Below are 24,246 nucleotides of genomic sequence, written 5' to 3' on the forward strand. Positions count from 1 at the left end.
CATCGGCAGAAGGAGGATTTTGTGGGAGTGTTTAAGGAAATGACTGCCTCTTGTTAGAGATGCGCTATGCTGGCCAGGAGGTGGATGGACAACTCTGTCTGTGGCCTCGGGGGGATACATTGAAGGGAGGGTCAAATGAAGTAAGATAGTGGGTCTCCCTAGCCCCCCAACCATACTAAATGAACCAGGTGAGTCTTTTCTACTGTCAGTGTTTGAAAGGCTGCATAATATTGAGGGTCCTCTTTATTTTCCTGGACTTAAGTCATCAATGGAGAGCAAGAAAAATAGTCAGCAGACAAAGAATAGCCAGGAAGCAATTTAGAGATAGAAGAATATGCTTAGGTCTAAGACAGACTATTAACAGCTTGATTCCAATTCTGGCATAATGTGGCAGAGACCCAGATCTCAATGCATGTGTGAGCATGCGCAAGTACTTGTGTACATCTGTGCAAGAATGTGTGTGTGTGCATGTACATATATAGGGATGAGAAGAAAGGGGCTGTCAGGGTAAGCACTCTCTGAAACTTATGAGACTGTCAGACTGATTCTTTTCTCTTCTAAATCATTTCCCATAAAACAAGGAGATGATTATCTGACTGCTAGAGGAAAGCGGGGTATTATATTTCATTTGGGGGGAATGTAGATTTATGGCAGATGGAATGGTTTTTCTTTTTTTAAAACCAACAGCCCAGCAATGGCAGAGTTTGTAGCATGAGTTAAAGCACTCACCTATGTTTTGCATTTTAAGCTGATGGGATTTACAGACATTTGTGGTGGTTTTGGGGGCTGTGCCATTGAAGGGACTCTCAAGGAGTGTAAGGAAGGAGAAAGAGGCCATCTTGTACCTATTCAACAAAGACAGTGTTTTTCCAATACTTGCCCACGGTATTCTACAATTAGAGACATCTGTGTGTCAGGACAATGGTTAAAAGGGGTTTTGCAAAGGTGGAGGAAATGAATTTATTGACTAGTAGTGACAAAGCATCTACCTTCAGGCAACTTACAGTCAGTGGTGAAGGTGGGTAAGGACCAAACTCGTCCACTATAAGGTGGTATTTCCCAGTAGAGGTCCATACCAGGCCCCATAACAGCACAGAGGAGGAAGGGCTAAGCCCCCCTGGATGGCCAGCGTGAGACAGTGTGGAAAGAGCAGGAGGCCGAGGAGGGTGATGTGCATCTGAGGATCTGTGAGTGGCTTAGATAGATTGACTGGTGGGTGTACATTGATGAAGGGTGGAGTATGGAAAACAGATAAGTCCCACAGCAAGGGAGGGGAAGAATTCAGTTTTTGAAATTTGGAATTTTAATGGAGTTGGAAATGTGCCACAAGAGAGGGGAGACAGAGAGAGAGAGAGAGAGAGAGAGAGAGAGAGAGAGAGAGAGAGAGAGAGAATTACTTTGGTTGGGGAAATTAAGCTTTCTGACTAAAAGAAAAGGTATCCATCCCCCATCTTTTTTTTAAACTAGAGGAAAAAAGTGCCTTTTAATGACAACTCAGTCCCCGAGATGAGCATCATAAAAACGTGATGCCTGCTGCAGGTGAGTAGCCCTTCTTTCCTCAACAGTTCTTCATAATGAAAGAGCGAGGTTTCAGCCTTCCCCCCGTCTTAGCCTATGCCCTGTGGCACTGACCTGGTTTATCAGAGTTCTGCTGTAGGTGCCACACAGAGCACCAGCACATTCCCAACGTGTGGTGTGATTGTCCCAGGATGCAGGGGACACACATGCTACTTTACTTGCACACTCTGGATTACTCGCCTGTTAATAGTCACATTGCACTGCTTGCTGATCTTAAACCTGCAGGAATTCAAACCTCCTGGCCTTTTACATGTCAATGGCAAGAAGCCATTTTTCTGTCTTTCTCTACAATAGACATATTTGTTTATTTATTTTTAAATTTTAGATTCTGGGGGTACAAGTACAGGTTTGTTACATGGATATGTTTTGTAATGATGAAGTTTGGGCTTCTAGTGAACCCGTCACCTAAATAGTGAACATTTAGGTAATTTTTAACACTCCCCTCCTACCTTCCTGCATTTTGGAGTCTCCAGTGTCTATCATTTCCAGCTTTCTGTGTCCCTAAAACTGACATTTTGGACTTGACAGATAAGAGGTTACCTTTTATGTCTTTATCACTTTTTTGGTCTTTTTGTATACTAATTATGGCTACCACAACTATGAGAAGCCATATTGCATTTAAAAGTGTTTATAACAAAATACTTTCATTTTAATAAGATTGGAAGTAACAATTTAAAAAATAAAAAATACAACTTTCTGGCTGGGCGTGGTAGCTCATGCCTTTAATCCTAGCACTTTGGGAGGCCAAAGTGGGCAGATCACTTGATGTCAGGAGTTCAAGACCAGCCTGGCCAACATGACAAAACCTTGTCTCTATTAAAAGTATAAAAATTAGTCGGGTGTTGTGGTGGGCACCTGTAATCCCAGCTACTCAAGAAGCTGAGACAGGAGAATTGCTTCAACACAGGAGGCAGAGGTTGCAGTGAGCCGAGATCGTGCCACTGCACTCCAGCCTGGGCAACAGAATAAGACTCCGTTTCAGAAAAAAAAACAAAAACCAACCAAACAAACAAACAATAAAAACAAAAACAAAAAACAAAAACAACACACACAAAAAACAACTTTCCTAACAATCTTAATGTTACTGTTATTTCATTTGTCTTGTTCACATACAGAAAAAATCTGTACAGCTTTGCAATCCTAAAATAGACAAAATCTTGCTTTCTGGTTTTGAAGTAACATGCCTTAAACCTTTTTCAGGTTACAACAATCTTCAAAATGAAAATGTAAAATGGTTGCATAATATTCTGTAATGTGTCTATGCCATATTATATGGACATATTCCACTGTTGGACAATCAGGCTGTTTTCTATACATTAACCATATAGAAAGAGCAACAACCTTTTTTACATATTTTCCATTTTTTCTTTTATATTATTTTCCTGGGGTAAATTATAGGGGCCAAATTATGAGGTCAAAGATAAGCAGTGTTTTTATGGTTGTTGAAATGCAATGCCAATTGCTTTCTAAAACCCAGTGCCACCTCTTCCAGAAATGTGACAAACTTTCTAGGATTTCATCCTCATTAGTGATGGCAGAGCCAAGACTAGTTATTGGTTATTGACCAACAATTACAAATTCAACTCAATGGGATGCCATTCTGCCTTCATTTTTTCCGTTTGGTGCTACAAATAGGAGAGCATCTGTGAGATATTTAAAGGCCAGAATCTTGCTTGCTGCCGTATTTCCAGCTTCTCATGCACAGCAAAGGCTCAACAAATATAGTTGAATGAATAAAATGCCTTCTGAATTCTATAACTTTTTTTTTTCTGACATAACATTCATTAACCTCATGAGAAACTGGCTTTGAAGGGAGGATGCTGTCATTCTGTAAGATCAGCTTCTGGCCAACATCTCATGACCTATCCTAGGCTGTGAAGATTTTTTAAGCACTCAGCTCTATTGTGGGTCCTGGGTCCAGTGTTCCAAGTGATATAGTTCTACTGTTGGACCCTGGAAGAAGATTGCAGCTGCAGAGTTCAGGAGCAGGGAGGTGTGTGGGAGGCCAAAGTGTGGGGAATCTGCTTTCCCTGGTTCTCCAGAGACATCCCCCATTTGCTCAGGATGGATCCATATTTACCATCATGCTTGGCCGGCCTCTCTACAGAGATCGCCCTGGAAGGCAACTACTTTGTTGAAATCTTTTTCCTGAAGTCCTTCTCCTTTCTCTTTTTGGATGTATTTATTCACATACATGCTTTGATTGACATGGCTGGCTCCTGCTAGATCTGAGTACCTTGGTAGTACCAGAAGCCAAGTGCTTCACTGTTAGTTGAGTAACAACTGGTTATGAACTAGAGGATCTGTTTATATCTTAATATATCAGTTTATACTAACAAATGAAACAACTGCTATTTTTCCCCTCCATCCCGCTATCAGTTGAGTGTTTATAATGTGCCAGACACAGTGCTAGATGCCTTACATATATTTTCTCTAATCTTTACAACAACCCTGTGAGGTAGGTATCCATATTACTGTCATCTACTGTATCAGTAGGCTCCCAGCAGAAAACAGATGGCCCACTCAAATTAGGATAATTTGCAAAAAGTTCAGTAAAGGGACTCTTTACAAAAGTGTGCTTAGGATGCAGAAAATCTCAAACATAGTGTGCTTGGGGCTAGTACTAGTGGTAGAGCCCCTTTGTTATAAGCCTAAGATTGAAAAGGGCAGAAAGGGAGTGGGTATGGGGTCTGGGGAGGCTGTTTGGGGATGCTGCCAATAGGAGTTGAATCTTTCTGCTGAGGGATAATGTTGGTCCACAGCAATCTTGCAACCCAGTGGAGCAAGGGGAATAAATATCCCAAGGTTATCCTTCTACCTGTCTCCACTCATCCATTGGGAAGCCAGAGGGCCAGGGAGCTTGCTCAGGTGTTCCATACTGTGCAAGGTGGAAAATGGTAATGGCGGGGTGGGGGGAATGAAAAGTATCCAGTACGATCACCAAGCTCAGTGATGGCTCTAGTATTTATCTCATTGTTGTCCTTTTCCTCTCCTAGTCCTATCTCAATTCTTGGTGATGGTGAATTCAATATTCAGGTATTTGATCCATGAACACTGAGGCCTTTCAGTTATTTTACCTCTTCACATCCAAAATCTTTACCTCCTCCAATATCTTTGCCCACTCACATGGTCACACTCATGACTTTGTCATCACCACTAACCTACATTCATTGAGACCTCCAGACCAGGGGTAATTCCTTCTTTTCACTATCTGTTTCTGTCTTCGTGTTCTCACTTTCTGCCTTTCCCAGGTAGGATTCCCAGGTTAATCATTAGTGTCACCTCCCCTGCAGGCTGGGTTACACCCCTGACTCCTTTGCTCCTCTCTGACTCTGTGGTCCTTTTGATAAAACCCAGCTCTGGTTAACACCATCACCTGTCTCCTTCATGTATTCACTTGAGTCAACCCTGTTGGAGAAAATGTACGATTGGGCTAACTGATCTCATTAAAGTTAGGACCAAAATCTCAAACAAGCTCTCATTCAACCAGCCCACCTACTGCATTTCCCTAGAGGAACTGCTCTCTCTCCCTTCAAGTTATTATTTAACATTCCTCTCCTCAAATCTTGTATGCTTTCTCCTCCTGGCTCACTCCCAGATGAGCTTTTCTTTATTACCTAACCCCTACTCCCCACCACCCAAATCCACCAAGCTATCTGTATCTATTAATATGCTGATACCTTACCTCTTCCCTCCTGTCAGGGACATGTTCTGTGCATATTTAAATCCAACCTATCCACTTGTGTTCTAGGTCCTGTCTGCATCCTTTCTCAAGGACTTTGTGCTGCAGATTTCTCCTTTTCTGTATCACCCTTCCTGTAAACTGGATGATTCCCATGGGCATCTAAACATGTTCTAATAGTTTCCATCATAGCATAAACTCACTTGTTCCGCATTCCATTTGTGTTTCTGGCTCATTTCTCTGCTCATCTTCACAGCAGATTGTCTTGATGTTGTTGTCTGTAGATACTCTCCCTGCTTCTTGACCTCACATTCTCTCCTAGTTGACTCCTGATTCTACTTTTCCACCAAAATGGTCCTTGTCAAGGTCACCAATGACTTTTGGGTTTTCAAATCTAATGGTCAGTATTTTGTCTTCATCTTCCTGGCCCTCTCAGCAGTGTTGGATATGGCTGACCACCCTCCTTCTTGAAACAATTTTTCTTATCTTTTCCATGGCAGCTGCTTTCTGGTTTTGCTCCGACCTCACTGGCAGCCCAGACTTAGTTTCCTTTGCTGGCTCCTTATCCTCTGCTTGACCTCTGAATGAGGGCATGAGTCAGGCCTTTCCTTTCTCCCGCTCTACACTACTGCTAGGTAATCTCATCATCTATGCAGTGACTGTGCTGAAATTTTTATCTCTAGTTCAGACCACTCCCTTGCATATTCAAATGCTGCTTGACTTCTCCATTGGATGACTAATAGGTATCTGTAGGAGACACTGCTGGGAGGTCCTGCAAACTCAAATCCTCTTCCTGAATGGGTACCTAGGCTGCATACTTCAGCCTCTCATACCAATAAGTGTGGCCTTGTGACAGATTTCTAGCCATGGTATGAGAACAGAAGTATGTGCACCACTTCTAGGTTTAGCCCATCAAAACCCCCCACAAGAGATCTCCCTTATTCCTTGTCTTTCGTAGACTGATGCATATGAGCTCAGTGACTTTTAAAGCCAAATGTTGAAGATGGAGGGGCCACCACATGGAAGAAACCCGGGTCCCTGCATTGCTATTTGGAGGAGAGCTGCCCACTAAGGAAGGAACCTGGGTCCCTGCATTGCCATTTGGAGGAGAGCTGCCCACTAATCAGGAATAACTGACTTGGATTTCACCAGAGCAAGAAATAAAATCTTATTGTATTAAGCTATTGGATTTTGTTTTTGTCTGTAAGAGCAACTGAAATTACCTAAATTAATACAGCATCTTAACCTTAACCAGCATCTGTCCCTGCAGCTCTTTTGAGTCTCTTTATCCCAAAACTGCCTGTGTCCTGGTCTTGCTCGTATCAGCAAATGGTGCCATCATTCATTGGCTTCTCAGCAGTAGAAGAGTGCCTAGCACACATTAGGTGCTCATCAATGCTTGCTGAATCACTACATCTGACCCTTGATTCATTTATTCCTCTCTCAGTCATCTGATCCATCAGTAAGTCCTGTAAGGTCTATTTCACAATATCCACCTGCTTCTCTCCACCTCTACTAAAACCATCTTAGCTCACATTTCTGCTGCCTGTAACTGGCATTATTGCAGTGACCTTTAACTAGACTCCCCCCTGTGCTCTTTCACCCTTCAATCCAATCTCCTCATAGCAGCTAGACTGATCTTTTGAAAATATAAGTCAGCTCCTATCATTCTCATGGTTCAAGTCCTCCAGTGGTTTCCCATTACATTTTGAATAAATTCTCAGTCCTAATGATGGTCTAAAGGGCTCTCTGTGGCCTGGCTGCTGCTTCCCTCTCTGAGCTCATACTGTTCCACTCACTCTTTGCTCATAAAGCTCTGGCCACACTGGCCTTTTTTCCGCCCAGGAACACCTCAGGCTTACTCCTGCCATTGGACTTTTACTGTAGCTGTTCCTTCTGTCTGAAATGCTCTTCCGTGCTTTCCCCACGGCCAGCTTCTTCTCGTCATTTCAGTTATCAGCTTAGTGCTATCTGCAGAGAGGTCTTCTCTGGTCTAAAGAAGCCCTACACTCACTCCCTTTCACAGTACCTTGTTTTATCTTTATCACCACACTTACAACTATTTGACATTTTCCTAAGAGTGTATTTTATGGTCTTCCCTCTGCCCCGACAAGGGACTTTGCTTACCTTGTTCGACACTGTGTTGCCATCACTAGTAACAGTATCTGGCTTTTAGTGTATGCCTAATACGTGGCTCAGGAAAATTAAGAAATTTACTTAAGCTTCTACAAGTTCAAACACAATGGTGCTTCTTTGATTTATTCAGGGCTCATACATGACTTGGTCAGGCTTGTTGCCAAGATGAGTACTGTGAATTATTGTTATTATTTTTTTAAAGTTTTTAAATTTTACAAAAGTAATGTTTTTATTGAAGAAAATTTAGAAAATGTAAACAAGCAAAAAAAATAAATAATTAAAAGGTAGCTGTAATACAGCATCCCTGTGCTAACCACCATCAATATTTTGGTATGTTTGTTTGTTTATTTCCTTCCTTCCTTCCTTCTTTCCTTTCTTTCTTTCCTTTGTTTCTTCTCTTTTCTAATTCTTTGTACACATGTTAAACAAAAGTGGCATCATTTTCTCACAGTGGAATATTGGACAAATCTCTTCATATAATATTAGTTTTGCTCAATAAGCATCTTCTTAGAGAGCACTTTAACTCAATGCCAAGTTTAGTGGTAGGTGTGTCTGTGAAAAGTTTTATTGGGTCTGCCACATGGATGCAGCCTCTGGTCATGGTATTGTACCTCTGCAGGCATTGGATGATGCCTATTTATCACTGCCGCTGTCCTGCGGGTGGTGGTGAAAGTCAAGTAATGCTATGCTCTCTGTGGTTAATTTTTTTGTTCTTAAAGCTAAAAAGTGAGAGACCTATTGCAGAATTCTGTGACCCAGCTGGTTCAGTGGTGACAGGCTAACGTCTCCCAGAGTGACTGTAGCAGCTTGCAGATTGGCAGTAATGAAGCTGACCTCTATTACATGTAATAAAAATAGGACTCTTAATATAAACCTAAACAAGAGAGGGGCACAGTAAGGGCTGCATTCTTTTTGCCTTAGGTCCTGGCAAATTATCATGTAGTTACTGAAGTCCTAAAAGGCAAGACATTCAGTGATAGTTTAGTTACAATTTACTTTTAAAATGCTGTACATTAATAGAATAATTATACTAATATAAGACATACTAATATAACAGACAAAGGGCAAATGATGTCAAACTTAATATCTTGGAGGTACAAAAAAATTTGGCTTTTTAATGGTGTATTTGGTGGATTGGTCTAGAGCTATATTTTGACACTGATTTTGGTCAAAGGATAACCATTGTGTGTGAATAATTGAAGTGAATCAGTCTCTCAGCTCATGTTGCTATGTACTCAGATGCTATAGATAAATCTTAACAATAGACCTCTTCTGTAGTTCTACAAGGGGATTTTCTATAAGATGTGGTGTGGCAGGCTGAGTTATGTCCCTCCAAAGATATTCACATCCTAATCCCTGGAACCTGTGAATATGTTATCTTACAGGGGAAGAAAGACTACAGATATGATTAAATTAAGGATCTTGCAGTAGGGAGATTATGCTGGATGATTAGGATAAGCCCAATATAATCGCCAAGGTCCTTATGAAAGGAAGGCAGTAAGATCAGTGTCTGAGAGAGAAGATACAAGGATAAAAGTAGAAATCAGAGAGGAGTGAAGATGTTATTCTCCACCCGGTTTTGAAGAGAAAGAAGAGGCCACAAGCCAAGGAATGCAGGTGGCCTCTAGAAGGTGAAGTTAAGCAAACAATTTCTTTCCTAATGCCTCCAGATGGAATGAAGCCCTGTGGACCCATTTTAGATTCTTCACCTCCAGAACTGAGAGATAATAAATTTCTATTGTTTTAAGCCACAAAGATCATGGTAATTTGCTACAGCAGCCATGGGAAATTAATACATATGGTCAATTTATAATTCATGAGAGACTCTAGGCCAGAATGCATGTCAACTCTGATCAATAGGTATGTGATGCCTAGGGCTCTGGGTTAAGAATGATTCTGAGGCTGAGTCTGTTCAGTGAGAGCATTACCACAATCAATCAGCAATGACTGCTAAGGGTTCAGGATGCACTTCTCTGCCTCAGACCTAAGTGTTTTTGGGGTGGGTAGGAGAGCATAACCTGCAGAGCCTAACAACAGGCCATTGCATGCAGCGCTGAAAGATGAGCTCTACACTGGGCCCTGATAGAAACGGAGATTGCCTAGGTATGTGGGTTTCAGTGAATGATGCAGCTGAGCTTTCTTGAAAGGGGAAAGTTGTTGGCTTTACCCAAATATCTGGATATCCTAGAGGCCTTGGTTCCACTTATGTCTGGTGATCCCACTAACTTATAATTTTGGGTCATTTGATATCCTGTTATTCCAGTTTACTAAAAACAAACTAAGCAAAATCTATTTTGGGGTAAAGTATGAAAAATTACCCATTTTAAAAATCACGGAAGTTAGTACATCTTGCTTGTAAAAATCGAGCCACAGAATGGTTAATAAAACCTGGGATATATTATTTTTTTTAAAACTCTCTTTTCATTTGCTTTTAACTTTACCCGCTTTTCCCTATACCTCCCTTTTGGGACATGAATACACAACACCCACGTTCATGGAATCAGAGTCTTCTGGGAACAGTTGTACAAACTTGAAGATGAATCATGACTTGAGTTTTGAGGACTGTCTTGGTGAGTTAGAACCAAGACCTGCTGTTTGTTATTAACAGCCTGGATGCTATTATCTATCCTCTTCTTTCTATGGTACAACTACAATCTGTGAACTCACAGAGGACCCCCTTGGCAGCTGCAGGACATAATTACCACATTCCAGAATACCTTTTAGGCGTTTGGATCTATGGCTACCTCTTTGGATTGCTCCCCTGCTAACTAATATGTTACTGGCTTGACACAATTGACAGCCGGCTGTGCCGGTGGCAAAAGGACTGCCTCTGGGGTTGTCTCAAAATGAGGTTAATGATGGGCTAGATGAGCTCTCTGGGTTTTTTAGACATCATCTACCTGGGAGTGGAATGTGTGTGAGGCTCTGGTATGATGACAGCGGGGGCTCTCACCACACAGTGAGATGTACCAAATGGGCCAATTATTCTTCTAGGTGGATCATGGAAATTGTTTTGCTAATTTTGAATGTAATTAAAACAAAGCAAAGCAAAACAAAGCTAGACCATTCTTGCATCCACAAAAGGCCAGGAGTGATGAGTTGCAGAAGCCAGTGAAGTTGCATTTTCTCCTGGGTGATGGGGGGATGGGTTTCTTCAGCTTGTTCTTCCGTGTTCCCGCATATGACTGGGACAAGCCACAGGGTAATGAGGTTTGGGCTGAAGTTTCAGTCTCTGACTGAAAGGAGACTTTGTCATTATTCTGATCAATTCACACATATTACAGATATGGAAGCAAAGGCCTGTATGGGGAAAATGCTTTCTCAGGGATACTTAGTTTGTTAGCAGAGGAGTCAAAACCAGAATTTATTTCTCCCAAATTCTAGCTGGGGAGGGAGAAATCCTGAGGTTCTGCTGACTACCCATTGGATTGAAAGATTCTCATCCAAATATTGAACATCTTCTGGGCAGGAATTATGATTGCTCATGTCTATACCCCTAACACCTGCTACCTGGACAGTAGGAGGTGCTCAGTGAATGTTTGTTGAATGAATGAATAAATGTATGTACCACAGATAGTTCAGGGAGGTGGGAGAGTTGAAAGTTTCATCCACTCTTAGAAACCAGAATAGGCCTTCTGAAGCAGGGGATTGGCTTTATCTTTATTGTCTTGTTTTTTTCTTAACTTTCATTAATCTTGCAATTATATTAAAGATATCTCATGGAGTCCAAATGTCTAAAAATCTAATTACCTCTATAGAGCTGTGCCATCCAATGTAGTTGCCAATAGCCATTAAGCATTTGAAATGTGGCTAGTTTGAATTGAGATTTGCTATAAGTATGGAATACACACTCAATTTCAAAAACTACAAAAAGGGAATATAAAATATTTCAGTAATTTAAAAAATATTGATTATATGTTGGAAGGATAATGTTTTGGATATATTGAGTTAAACATCTTATTAAAACTAGTTTCTCTATTACTTTTTTTTCCAATTTGGCTACTGGAAAATGTACAATTACACAGGTGGCTCACATTTGTGGTTTGCATTGTTTTCTATTGGAGAGCATTGCCATAGAGCACTCGTTTTTGTGTTTGCTGGCCAAGTGGGTTGGATGGATTAAGAAGTTATTTATTTGATGAAGTATCAATTAGTTAGTGACTTTTATGTAAATATCCAGAGGATTACTACTACGTACCATTTGGTGAAGACATGCCTTCTTAGATCAGTTCCATTAGTAGATCTCACCATGTGTGAGTGAGAGACCAAATCTCAGAGAGGTTAAGTGCCGTGGAGCAGGATTAGAAGATGGACTTGTAGGACTTCAGATTTGTGCTCTGAGCCTCAGCTTTTTCAAACATGGTCCCTAGATGATGGCGTGGTATGTTCAGGACTGAGGGATGCCACTAACACTTTATTACTCATATTAGTTAAAGGATCAAAGTTTGTGATTGCTTTTACTTATAAATTAGAGCAAATTCAAGGCTATCTCTGTGCATTCCTTTCTTACTTATTCCTCTTACTTACTTGAATTCTGACATATTTCCTTCTAAAGGGGGAGCAGGCAGGGAATTGGGTACACTCATAATAGGTTAATGGACACAGTCTCACCCTATACCACTCTCTCTCGATGACTATGTACTAGGCAACAAGTCAAGTGTCTTTTGATATCTGACCCCACCAAATTCTTCCCAACCTCAGGGCTTTTGCACTTGCTCTTTCCTCTCCTTGAATGTAAGTGGAAGTTAATGCCCCCAATTTTAGCACTGTGAGTCTTTTCTCATCCTTTTGGTCTCAGCTTAAATGTTATCTCCTTGGAGAGGCCTTCACTGGGTTCCGAGTCATTCCTACCTGGTAGAAGCTATTTTTGACCTTCTTTGTCTTTTCATGTCACTTTTCCTAATCTGCAATTATTTTTATTCACTTTTGTATGAATATCAGCTTCACAGGAGGAGAGACAGGTTGCTCTTGTTTACCTCTGTATCCCAGTCACCTACCTGCTTTTCCCTATACCTCCCTTGTGTAGGACCTGGTAGAGACCTGGTAGAGAATAGAGGGTCCATACCTATTCGTTGAATAAATGCATGAATGAATGAAACAATTGGCATACCTAGGAACATAGCAGCTGAAATTATATTTCATCTCCAGAATTGGCCACTGTTTCACACAGGCAGTGGTCACCCCTGGGGAGTGAATCTGTTTCTAGATTGCATTCATGTAAGGCATGTTTGGAGAAGGAATACAGAAGGCAATGGTGTAAGTCCTTGAAGGTCTGAGGTCACATCTGGAAAAGAATGGCTGGACTGGGCTGGGTGAGAAAATGTGGTTGGATGCAGCAAAATTTTTTTCTACATACAAAGCAGAATCATCACTTTAAAACCCCTGGGTCTACTACTTCTTTAAAGCTAAGCAGGTCCTTAGTAAATCAGGTGGCCTCAATATTTTTGTCCTATATCCAATATATTAATAGTATCACTTACTATTTTGAAGGACACACTATTAGTAATCCTTTGTTTAATCTTAGCATAATTTACTCTCCATTTTCTCCTAAATTTGGTGCAGAAAACTTTCAAAAATGATGAGAAATGGAATGAGTTTTGTCTTGAGAATTTTATCTAAAAACTTTCAATATACTTCAGATAAGGGAAGCCACCTTGCAGCTTTGCAAATTCGAGATTGGGAAACAGCAGAGTAAGGCAGGGAATGTTTCTGGGTAACCTGGGGTTGGTGTGGGGACATCCCACATAGGCTTTTTTTTTTTTTTTTTTTTGCAAGTGATGACTTTTACAAAGAAACAGATGGGCCCTTTGAGGTTGCTGTTCCTGCCTGAGTTCAGGGAGGTTCCAGGGTAGGATTTAGTAGCAGAGGGCATGGAGCCATCTCAATGTGTTCAGCTCTAGGTTGCTTGACTGGCTGCCATCACTTTTTGCCTCCTGCTGACGTCACACACACATATCTTCCCTGTTGCTCCTGGCTGGCAGGAGAGCTAAGGGCAGCTGCTTCCAGGTGTGACCACTGTTGAGCCAAGCTCCTGTCACAGCCCTTATTGCCATGTAGAAGCAGCTTCTACTGAAGTTAAGCCCAAGGTAACACAGATCAGCCCTCTGTATTACTTCTCCAGGGTTGCCAGCTCATTTTAACCCAGACTGGTCAAAAATTAATATCCCATCATTTCAGCTTGCAAAGCCATTCAACACTAGGTCAATGTGAATTCAATAGAATTTCATATCACTTACAATAAAGACTCTGGCTTTTTTGAAAGTGCATACAGAAAAAAAAAAAGATGAAGAGAGATGAAGCTGCAGATCCCTGGGCCAGTTGTCAAAGGGAAAAAGCCTTTATGCCAGCGACAGGAGCTAAGCCCATCCTTTTTGGTTCTTTTAAAGTGAAGGTGGGTTTGAGCAGAGAAAATCCTATTGTGTTGAATGATTCTGTCGGGAGAGAGGTAGAGACTTTGGAATATAAATGAGTGCTAGCGAGTTGGAGAATTAAAACTCTCCGTCATCCGTGTATTATGGGCTTCATGTGTGATAAACATGCGTGTTTCCAGATTAACCCCAGCCTGCCAGGGCCTGTTTAATGGTATTATTGTTAATAGCATCTTTGATCCCAGTGTGTGTTTACCATACTTGTCTGGGAGACATCTGTGCTGAGTGATGGTGGGGCCTGGCTTGAGCACATGTAGGATCTTGGGAGGGAAGTAGGTGACTTTCAGTCCACAGAGACTTAGGATACCTTATCATGGGGGTGGGGTGGGAGATGAGGTAGGGAAACTTGGGGTGTGAAGAAGGAGAAAGTCTACAGAGGAATTCGCAATTCTTAAGATTACTCTAGGTCCAGGTTCAGTGCTTGGTTTAGAAAAAGCAACTAATTTTGGAAATTGGGTATGAAGGGAAGTAAATGTGGGGAGAGGAAAGAGGGTAGTAGACACAAGAAGAAATATTTGAGAGAGTGAGAGAGAGAGAGCGTGCGAGAAAGAAAGGTTTGGTAGGGGGAACACTGGTTGGTAGAAGGGAAGGTCGTGTGGTGAAAGGAGGGTAGCTATCAACTCTTCTGCCCATGGTCTCCCCCAGGCCCTGTCCCTGCCTATGTTCTCAGTGGCTTATGCAGAAAAAAAGGGGGACAGGAACGGGAAAAGTCTGTAAGGCACTGAGAAGCATTCTTCTCCCTTTATCTTCTCCTCTCCTTTATCTTTCTTTCTCTTTTTGTATCTTTTCTTCCTTCCTTTACTTGCAAGTTCAAACATTTTGGTGAAGTTTAGCCTGAGTGTTGGAACTACCTGTTCATCTTTGGGCAAGTCTTTTAATGCCCCTCGTTCTGAGATTCTCCATCTGCATGGTAGAAATGAATTGCTTGTACATCAGAGACTTTGTTCTTCACAATGTGCACACCAGTCAGAGGTAACTGAAGGTACACATTATTTATGTTGTTAAATAATGTATGTGTGTGTGTGAATAATATTTGAAAAATGGAGCTACAAGAAGTGAAATGTATCTTAAAATGTGCAATACAATAGCAAATGTCCCATGACAGTTTTTCTTCTTTCCTGGTCACTTTGTGAGGATTATTCAACTAATGTCTTGGAAGTGCGGTGTTCTGGGCATGCAGGAAAAGAGGTCTAACCCCCTTGCATCATGCAGGGCTCAAGGAGGATTTTATTTTTCCCAAGAAAAGATGCCAATTGCAGTTATTCTGAGTAACAAACAAAACATTACATCTTACGACTCAACATTGCTTTACGTCTGAAATAATAAATCCTGATATACCATTCTTTGAGGAATCATCTATTCTTGTGGCTTTTTCCCATGGAAGGCCTTGACATCTGGTTACAAGGATGGAAAAGAAGGTGAGTTTAATTGACCAATTGACCAACCAACCAAACATCAACCAAAATAAAGGAATATGGAGATTTCAAATGCACTTTGAAGTATATCTAGTGTTAGGTCAATTGTGAAGGGTTCCAGTTGTTACATTTTCACTCCTTTCATGGCTGGGACATAGGCATATGATCAACCCAGGCACTACAGAAGTTCCAGGTGGTGGAGAAGTTGACAAGATTTCCCCATGCACTTAGACAAGGGCAAGGTGTCCCTTTGCTTACTGGAGCAGATGGCTTTGTACAAGCTCTTTAGGATAGCCCATGTCCTGGTTTCAGCTCAGATCATTGAACTGGAAACATGCGTGTCCATAGAGACACTCACCTTGGACAGTAGTCATCTGTCTTTTTTGCCTTTTACATCTCTCCCCTTTTCTGATGTTTTGCCCTTGAATGAAGCTTCTGAGTGGCCTGGTTGTTGAAGCAGATGGTCTGGTCATTGCCTGGACTCTCCAAACAGTAGGCCTTCTGCTTTAAAACAATTTTTTTAAATAACCAGCTTTAGCTGTAAAATGACTGTCAACTTGTAACCTTACTGTTTACACCACAATGTGCAATAAAGATGGCAGAGGCTGTGAGAATACCTGCCTGGCAATTGTACTTTTGTGTGTCAGGCCAAGAAGTGCTAAAAGCTTTCAGAAATTTCAACATTTCTGACTGTGGGAACCATTTTTACAAGAATCTTTTTACAACGGAGAAGACGTTATTTCAGAGAGAAGTCAGGGATAAGGAAGCAATGCTCATTTTGAGCATGAAGATGCCTCATGTACATGAAAAAGCAGTTGAAATTCTTGCTTCTTTTCCTCCCTCCCTCCTTCCTACCTGCAGTCCCTGACTGCAAATCCCCTTGTAATTATCCTCATCACTAAAGTCTGGAAGGCTCACCTTCCACAACAGGGGATATTAGAAGGGCTAAATGTCTCCCACCGCACAGGGAGAAATATTCCTTTGTTTGAAGAGGAAGTTTTCTCATCCAAAGATTATGTCCCCCTGTGACTGTGCCATGATCGGAAGAGAGAGAGATTTTCACGTCCCCTGTGACTGACTGTTGTGGAAAACACAGTAATATCAGGGTTTAAGGTGGGGAGGTGGGAGTTTCAGAAGATTTTGAGGGGGTCTCTTTGCCATTGAAAGGTAGTATAACCATTTTCCGGGATTAGTGAAGATAGGGGGAGGAAGACACGCTGCCTAGGGGATGCTGCTGTGTTAGGTGCCATCATTCTCGTGTTTGGAAATCCTTCTCTGTCTGTTTTGGACATGTGTTCTGTGAAAGCCAGTCCCTGGGGGAGAAAAATGGTACTAGTACCATAGTTCGTTCCAAATCGGTGTCCAGTTTTGACATTCAGCTGATAAAGTGATGTTTTTCAGGCCTATCCGTTAGGGACATCAGAGTTAGGGTAGAAAACACCTATTGGTTCTGCTTCATTAGGTATTTATATAACCTGAAAGAAGTTCTTTTAACTTGAGGCTTTTAAAAATACAATGAAATGATTGGTGGAAAATGACTAAATATACACTTTGATGCAGATTAAAAACGGTTTACATGTAAGTAATTTAATAGTAAATAAATCATTGGTAAATTACAAATATGTTATTACCACAGTGTAGTTTTGTTGTCAACTACTAAACTCGCCTCACTGGGGTTTTGATAAAGTGTTAGCCAAGAGTGATTTGGGGCTGGATCCAACCTGTAGGCAGTCCAGGGCCTGTGGGTTTACCTTGGGTCCTCTGAGGGTCTTGGGTCTTTGTACACCCTCCTGTATGCCAGGGCAGACAGATCTCATTGACTTTGACTCACACTGAACCAAGTGTGATTTTGGGATGGATCCATTTCTTAGGCAGTACAGGATCCAGGGATTTGCTCCTAAGTCCATGATGGTCTTGAGTCAGACCTAGGGGTGATAGATTAATAGTAAGAGTGTCCCTTCTCCTTGTCCCCAGCCATGGCAGACAGATCTAATTGATTAAGGCCTAGTTAGCCTTGAGTCTAGATGCAGCTTCACCATTCCCAGGCAGCCTCAAGAGTTGAGCTGGGAGATGCAGCCCATTGGTTATCCATAATGCACCACGCCCTGATGTTTGAATTGATGTCCTCATCTCAGGGCTTCTTAGAAATCCTATTTTCAATGGCTTGAAGTTCAGTCCTTAAAGTAAAGACCCTTACTGGTCCACACAGGGTTGGTGTAGTTTTTATTCCTTATTGCTATTCAACAAATCCATGTGATATAAACATGAACATCACATGGTAGAGAAGAGAGAATTGTGTTGTCTTATCTGAGCTTGGATCCTGGTTGTTCCACCTACTAGTGGTGTGATGTTAGGCAATTATCTCTTTGAGCATTGGGCATTTATCCCAATGCTCAAAGATATAATTGTGTAAGATTTGCCTCGCACGGTCATCGTAAGAGTAAGAGATGATATAAATAACCTCGCCTATTTCCTGATACGCTTTAAGCACAAATAAATGGTGGCCATTATTAGCACTACCACAGGAAAAAGAGACTAGTGCAGTGTGTTGTGGACATTCACGAAATGCTACTCTCTCTTTATCCTGTTTATTTCCTTTGTAGGCGTTATCACAGACTATATTTATTTGTGTATGTGTGTTTATTTATTTTTCAGGTCATCTCCACTAGCAAGTTAGCTCCATGAGGAGCTTATTGATTTCTTTCCACAACATAGCTCAATGCTTGATGTGTAGTCGTCACTCAATAGATATTTGCTAAAACACCAAATTTGCTTTATTTTTCTTAATAAAATAATAATCTGCAAGAATGCATAATGCAGCTCTCCTCTATGATCCCCCCTCCCCACCCCACAGAGGCTTGCAGGAGATTGTATGAAAGTGCTGTCTTCTTGGCATTGTAGGGAGTGGAGGGGTTAATAGGCTTCTGGGGCTTTATATCAGGAATGGGAGTCTCTGCAGGGCTGGAGGCTGCCTGGAAACCTTTCTCTCACTTCCAATAGCTGTGGTGTGGATCTCACTGCAACAGTCCTGACTGCAAAGGAGCTGTCTGCCCCAAGGTTGGACTTGGCAGGGCTTTCCTGTTGAAATATTTCAGGCAGACACTGTAAGGCTGTGCTGTCAATAAGTAGCCACATGTGGCTGTGGAGCCCTTGAAATGGGATAGTCCAAACTGAGATGGGCTGAAAGCGTGAAATACACAAGGGATTTTGAAGACTATGTAGGAAAAAAATGTAAAATATTTCATTAATAATTCTTAATATCGATTACATGTTGAAATGATGATATTTTGGATATATTAGGTTAAATAATATCTATGATTAAAACCAGGTTTATTTTTTTCTTCTTGCTTTTTAAAATGTGGCCACTAGAAAATTTAAAGTGACATATGTGGCTCACATTTGTGCTGACCTTATATTTCTCTCTGCCAGCCCTAGAATGGGACACACTCTCAGGGCAAAATAGAGGAAAGAGCTGTGGGCCAAGTGTCCAGAGCTAGTCTCAGTCCTGCTTCTACAAGAATTCGATATGTGATCTTGAATAAGCCACCCAAACATTCTGCACCTTAGGTCTTTCTGGAAAAGTCTATTCAGAGGCTTTGATACTTAAGAAAGAAACAATAGCGTTAAACTACACTACAGTTACAAGATGCTATTGTCTTATTTCCATTATTAAAGCCACTTCGGAAAATGTCTGTGGTGCAGGCAGCCAAACTTTCCTGATTCTGGGAAGAATGTATGGAGGCCTTGTTCCATCTGCACCAGGCAGACTCTTTGAGGGAAGAACCCAAGGCAGGAATCTCTACCTTTTGGAGCTGACTGAATGATAACTGAGACTTTCCAATCATGTGGAAATTCCCTACAAAACCCCAACTTTTATGAAACAGATTGATAAACTGTAAAAGTCTCATCCTTAACACCTTTGCTCCCCTTATGAAGTCAATGTTATTTGTAACTACTGGAGACTCATTCAGGATAAAACCCAGGTCAGTACCTGGACATAGTTGGTGCCCAGTAAAATGTAACAAAATGACCTATTGACCTGGGAAATGAGGACCTTTCCATGTATTAGAATCTCTTGAAAAGCTTCCTCTTCCACAATCCCTGCTGAGAAGGAATCAGAACTCTGTTGATATTGTTTATCTAATTTAGACTGTGTCTATTTAATTTAGCTTGTGTCTTTCTAATTTATATTGTGAGCCCTCTCGACTGAAATTGAGTCTCTCTTAATGTTCTGTATGGTGTCTACTGTGTTTTCTATGCTCAGATAATATGAACAATAAGAAACATTTTAGGTTCTTGATGTGCTTTTTTGTTAATGTCAAATTCTTTGGAGGAGAACCTCCTTCAGAAGTTTGGGATTTTTAGATTGTGTCTGTATGTCTCTCAAACATATGGGAAAAAAGTGGAAAATTCCCAGACCTAGTATTTATAAATATTCGAATATAATTTATAAATAGATGGAGGAATCTTCTTATTTTAAAAATCCAGTTATTTGACATTATGTAGACATAGTCTTGTGCTCTGATATTTCTTTCACCTACCTATATAATTACAAAGTAGTATACATTGAGTGTATCTGTCTTCTGGTAGATAAAACTCAGGTCCCTACTGTCAGTTGCTTGCAATTCCATTCCCTGTGGGTGCACAGAAGAACCTGCATGTTGCATTTCAATGTATCATTTAACTCCCCTTTATTCCTTCCTCCAGTGTGGAGTGAGAGAGCAGGAATGGGCTCTGGAATCTACCTGTACTAGAATCTGTGCTTTCTCAACTTGGTGGCCTTGGGCAAATTATTTATCTATTTAAGCCTTAGTTTCTGTAAGTCGCTTTAGGGTAAATTATATCGAGCTAGCTTAGTTGTTTGAGGATAAAATTTGATCACCTCTATATAATGTGTGGAACTCAGTGATAGGCTTTCTCATAAAAAGCTAGGTCAAAAGGACACATTTGACTTTTTAAAAATTCATAGATATGCAAGACTGCATCTACTCAGTACTTCTCCCCCACCCAAAGGATACCTGTTTTGCAATGAATTAATATCTCTGCAAAATATTACTCACATGTTTATAATTTTCCATGCCTACTTTGCAAATGGAGAAATGGAGTTACTTGAAGATAGAGCCCAATTGCTCTCAGTTTAGGCTGTCATGTTCTTTTGTCAGAGTAACTCAAGTATGAAAATACTGACCTCTCCTCCACAGTGAAGAACCCACTCAACACCATCTACTTTACTTTAATATCCTCCAGGAGAATGGGAAGTCCCAATGCACAGGTCAACCCCTGAACAATTAATGAGCACCAGTGTATGCCAGGCATTGGGAAGGTTTCAAAGAAAACCAAGAGGGTCCCTGTCCTCAAAAAACTTGACATCTGACGGGTGAGTCAGAGCACATAAATGCACATGAAAACAGTAACAAGGCAAGGCAAAGCAAGTCAACATATTTGTTGAATCCCCACTATATGTGAAGGCATATATTAATGTCTTGTTCCTGGCACAGCAATAAGGGGTATAGGCTTCCGGCAAGGGAGGGTTTGCTGAGTGGGGGAGGAGTCAGGGAAGGTTTCTGGGGGCTAATCTAAGGCTGTGGTTCTGAACCTTACTGAGCATCAGGTTACCTGAGCCCTGCCTCCCGAGATCAGCAATCAGCGGGTCTGGGGCAGGGGCTGGGATTCTGCGTTTCTAACAAGCTTTCGGGTGATGCTGCTGCTGCTGTTCCTCGGACCACATTTGAGTTGTGAGGCTAAAGGATGAGTTGTGCCTAGCTCTGGGAGCAGAATTGTGGGGGCACCCCCATTGTGCATTTCTGGCCTTTTCCTTCCTTATGTCCTTTACAGGGGTATGCCTTTGTTGCGCTTGGCCCGTGCCACGAGGTTTCACCCAATGACGGAGCAATGGGCTGCATCTGCTCTTTATTCACAAAGAGGAAATTCCTACTTTGCTGCCATGGCCTTGTTGCTCTGCCTTCTCTTTCTCAAAATATTTGTATTTGAACACGAACTCTGCCTCTCATCTCACCCCGTCCCACCTCCACTCAACCTCAACTCTTATTTTGGCAGCAGTGAAGTTGCTGCGCTTCCCATTTGAAATAACTTTAAAGAGGAATAATCCCACAAATTACAATTACTGGTATTTATCCAAGTAAAACCCAGTATCCTGTTGCTTTGTTGACAGCAGGGCCCAGCCAACTGTTGGGTTAGCGGGGGCTGAGGAAGTTAAAAGGAGGGCCTGGTTGAGTTGCCTCACCATGGGAGGAGAGAGGCATGTACAATCAGATATTTAACACTCCTCAGCAATTATGGGAGTTTTTATTCTCTCCCTGGCAAAGAACATAGCCCTTTACTGCAGTGTTTCAAGTTTGCCTACAAGGCTGTCTGATAGAAGTGCTTTTATCCCCTGAAGATACAGTATAAAATACAAATCATCATTGGTTTTATCTCAGCTGGAGCTGCTGCTTCTCCAAATACATTTACTCTGTTCAACTGCCCATCAGACCCATTTTCATCCTTCACCCCACTCCTTGACGATAGCTGGGTTTAAGGCCTTTCTTCTGTTCTTTGTTCCTTTAGCTCAGCGAAGTAAACAGCAGGATTGATCTTACACTGCATTTTGGTATTGTTCCAAGTACTCATCTATAGACACGGCTGGGAATGCACTGACTGGAAAGGAAGGGCAGATGGAAATGCACTTCTTGTTCTTTGTGCCTTTTAGTGTGCAGCGGAATGTCCCTAATCTGAGGGCTGCTACACTGGCTGCCGATCGACATGCAAATTCATCATCAAATGATGAGTCCCATATTAGTTCTAAGGGAAGTCTTTAAAGATACCAGGGAGGAAGAGGGAGAGAGGGAGGGAGGGAGAGAGAAAGGAAGAGAGAGAGAGAGAAAGGGAGAGAGAGAGAGAGAGAGAGAGAGAGAGAGAGAGAGATATTTAGAGAAAGGGGGCTTTTCTTCATTGCCTCTTACATCCAGGTCATTACAGTGTCTTGGGAAAGAAGAAGGGGGATAAATAGCTGTTACGTTGTTGTGTTTCTCTTTGCATTGCAACTGTTCACAGGTGCACGAAGACGTAAAATGCTGTGCTTGGAAAGTGTTTATTTTAAAAGCAAGGTATTTTAAGTTAGAGATGACTTAAAATCAGAGATGGTGGCCTAAATGAGAAAAAGTATTGCAAAGGATGGTTGTTTTCTTTTTGCTTTGTCATTTTTCTCCTCAGTTATTTGGAAAGCATATCTTAACTGGGCTATTTTCTGTATTATTTTTTAATTAAAAGAAACCAACAGTATTTTGACTTGTAGCTTTAAAAAAGAAACCAATGTGTGGCTTAGTTAAATTGGAGGCTTAAAGATGCTGCTTTTATGGGTAACACATTAGTCAGTTATATTGGAAGATGATAAAAGTGAATTGGCTAAATGAACCTTTGGATTTGTTTTGTTGAAGTTCCACCAGTTATTATAATGCCTTTAGGTATTTTTGAGAGGTAACAGGCTGGAGGAAGAGTTTATAGAATTATCTTGTCTTGTATACTCCTTAACAGCAGGACACATTCCACTGCCTATCAGATGATGGGTGTGGAGATAGCCTGAGCTTACATTGATTATGTGGAAAACATCTCTGCTTTGCAAGAGGTCTGCAATTTTAAGGGGCAATTAGGCAATCTTATACCCTCCCTACCTCAGCTTTAAGAAAGTATAGTTTCTGTTTCATTTCCATTAATAGTCATATCATGACAGTTACTTCTGTGAAGTTTTCCCTCAACACCCACCTTTCCCTACAGTATCCTACCTAATTCTACCTTCCTGTGACACTGGTCATTCCCTCCTTCGTTCTGGAAATATACTTAGTACATGTTTTATCATACACATGTAGTCTGTTTTTGGTTATCTAGGTTTGCATTGACCAGTTTGTGGATTGTGTTTTTTAATATACTTATAAAAATGTTATAGTTACCAAGACTGTGTAGACTTCTCTTGTTTAGAACTATAAGGTAGTAAGGTATTCACTGTAACATAGCCATAGCCCCCACCCCAAATCTTTCCAATTAAAAGTGCAAGTACATCATTGGCAGTCATTTGTATAAAATTTAATAGTGCGGTGTTAGTGAATAGTTATATGTTTAAATACAATGAGGTTACCCAATAACTAAGACATAGAAATGGAAAAAAAAACCCTACACAATACTTTACACACTACAAAAACTTTGAAAAATGTGTAAAAGGGTAGAATATAAAACCAAAACCAAACAAATTAAATTATACATATACAAATGTAAGTGGTTTAAGGTAAAAACAAAGAGATGAATTAATTTATTTTGCATTCTCAGTGAATTGGTGAAGCTGACTGATAAAAAAAGGCAAAACCAGTAAATAGATCCTCTTATAACAACCTTGATAAGGCAGTGCTAGTTTAGTGCCATTGGCAATGGGCAAACAAAACCGTGTCTGGATTGATCTGTGGTGGACAAGGAAAATATTTCTTTGGCACTGTTGGAACAGATGGTATCTTTGATTCATATTTTGGAGATTAAACAATATCAAACGGGGCAGGGGATTCAGAAACTGGCATTTGAGACCCTTAGCAATGGTGACATAGTGGGTGGTATGGGAGATACCTTCTGCCATGAGGAGGGGCTAGCTAAAAAGCAAGATCACACTGGCACATTCGGATCGACTGTTGGCTAACCTCCTTAAGAGATGTGCAAGGGTTTTTCTGCAAATAAGTTTGCTTATGTAAATGAGTTCACATTTAGTTTAAACATCAGTTTACATTAAAACCATTTTAAACTATATTTCAACTAGTTATTTTTAAATTCACATTTTGAGCTTGATGTGACCTTCCTCCCCTGATTTTCTTAAATATTGAAGGTCTCTGGGAAGTAACTGTTTATGAGTTTGCCTGTGAGCATCTGAAGGAAAAAGATCCTTTTATTAATTCAACTCTGTTTTCCTAGTCCATAGCCCAGAGTAAGTGCTCATAAATGTTTATTAAATGAATGTTTGAATGAATAAATA

General features: G+C 41.0%; 1 long non-coding RNA gene across 2 annotated transcripts in view, besides 1 other annotated feature; it reads left to right on the forward strand.

The window, feature by feature from the left end:
• The window catches only part of LINC02934 (long intergenic non-protein coding RNA 2934), a 298,411-nt gene that overhangs the window by 23,342 nt on the left and 250,823 nt on the right, over positions 1-24,246 (forward strand). The gene's annotated exons all lie outside the window — the stretch shown is intronic.
• Positions 21,077-22,316: an enhancer, noted in NCBI's record as "HHc2:065915". NCBI's record gives its function as "enhancer in forebrain, eye, otic vesicle, larynx, lens, hatching gland" and the evidence as "EXISTENCE:transgenic organism evidence [ECO:0001131][PMID:22448256]".

This window comes from Homo sapiens, chromosome 2 (genome assembly GCF_000001405.40).
Source record: "Homo sapiens chromosome 2, GRCh38.p14 Primary Assembly".
Classification (NCBI taxonomy): Eukaryota; Metazoa; Chordata; class Mammalia; order Primates; family Hominidae; genus Homo; species Homo sapiens.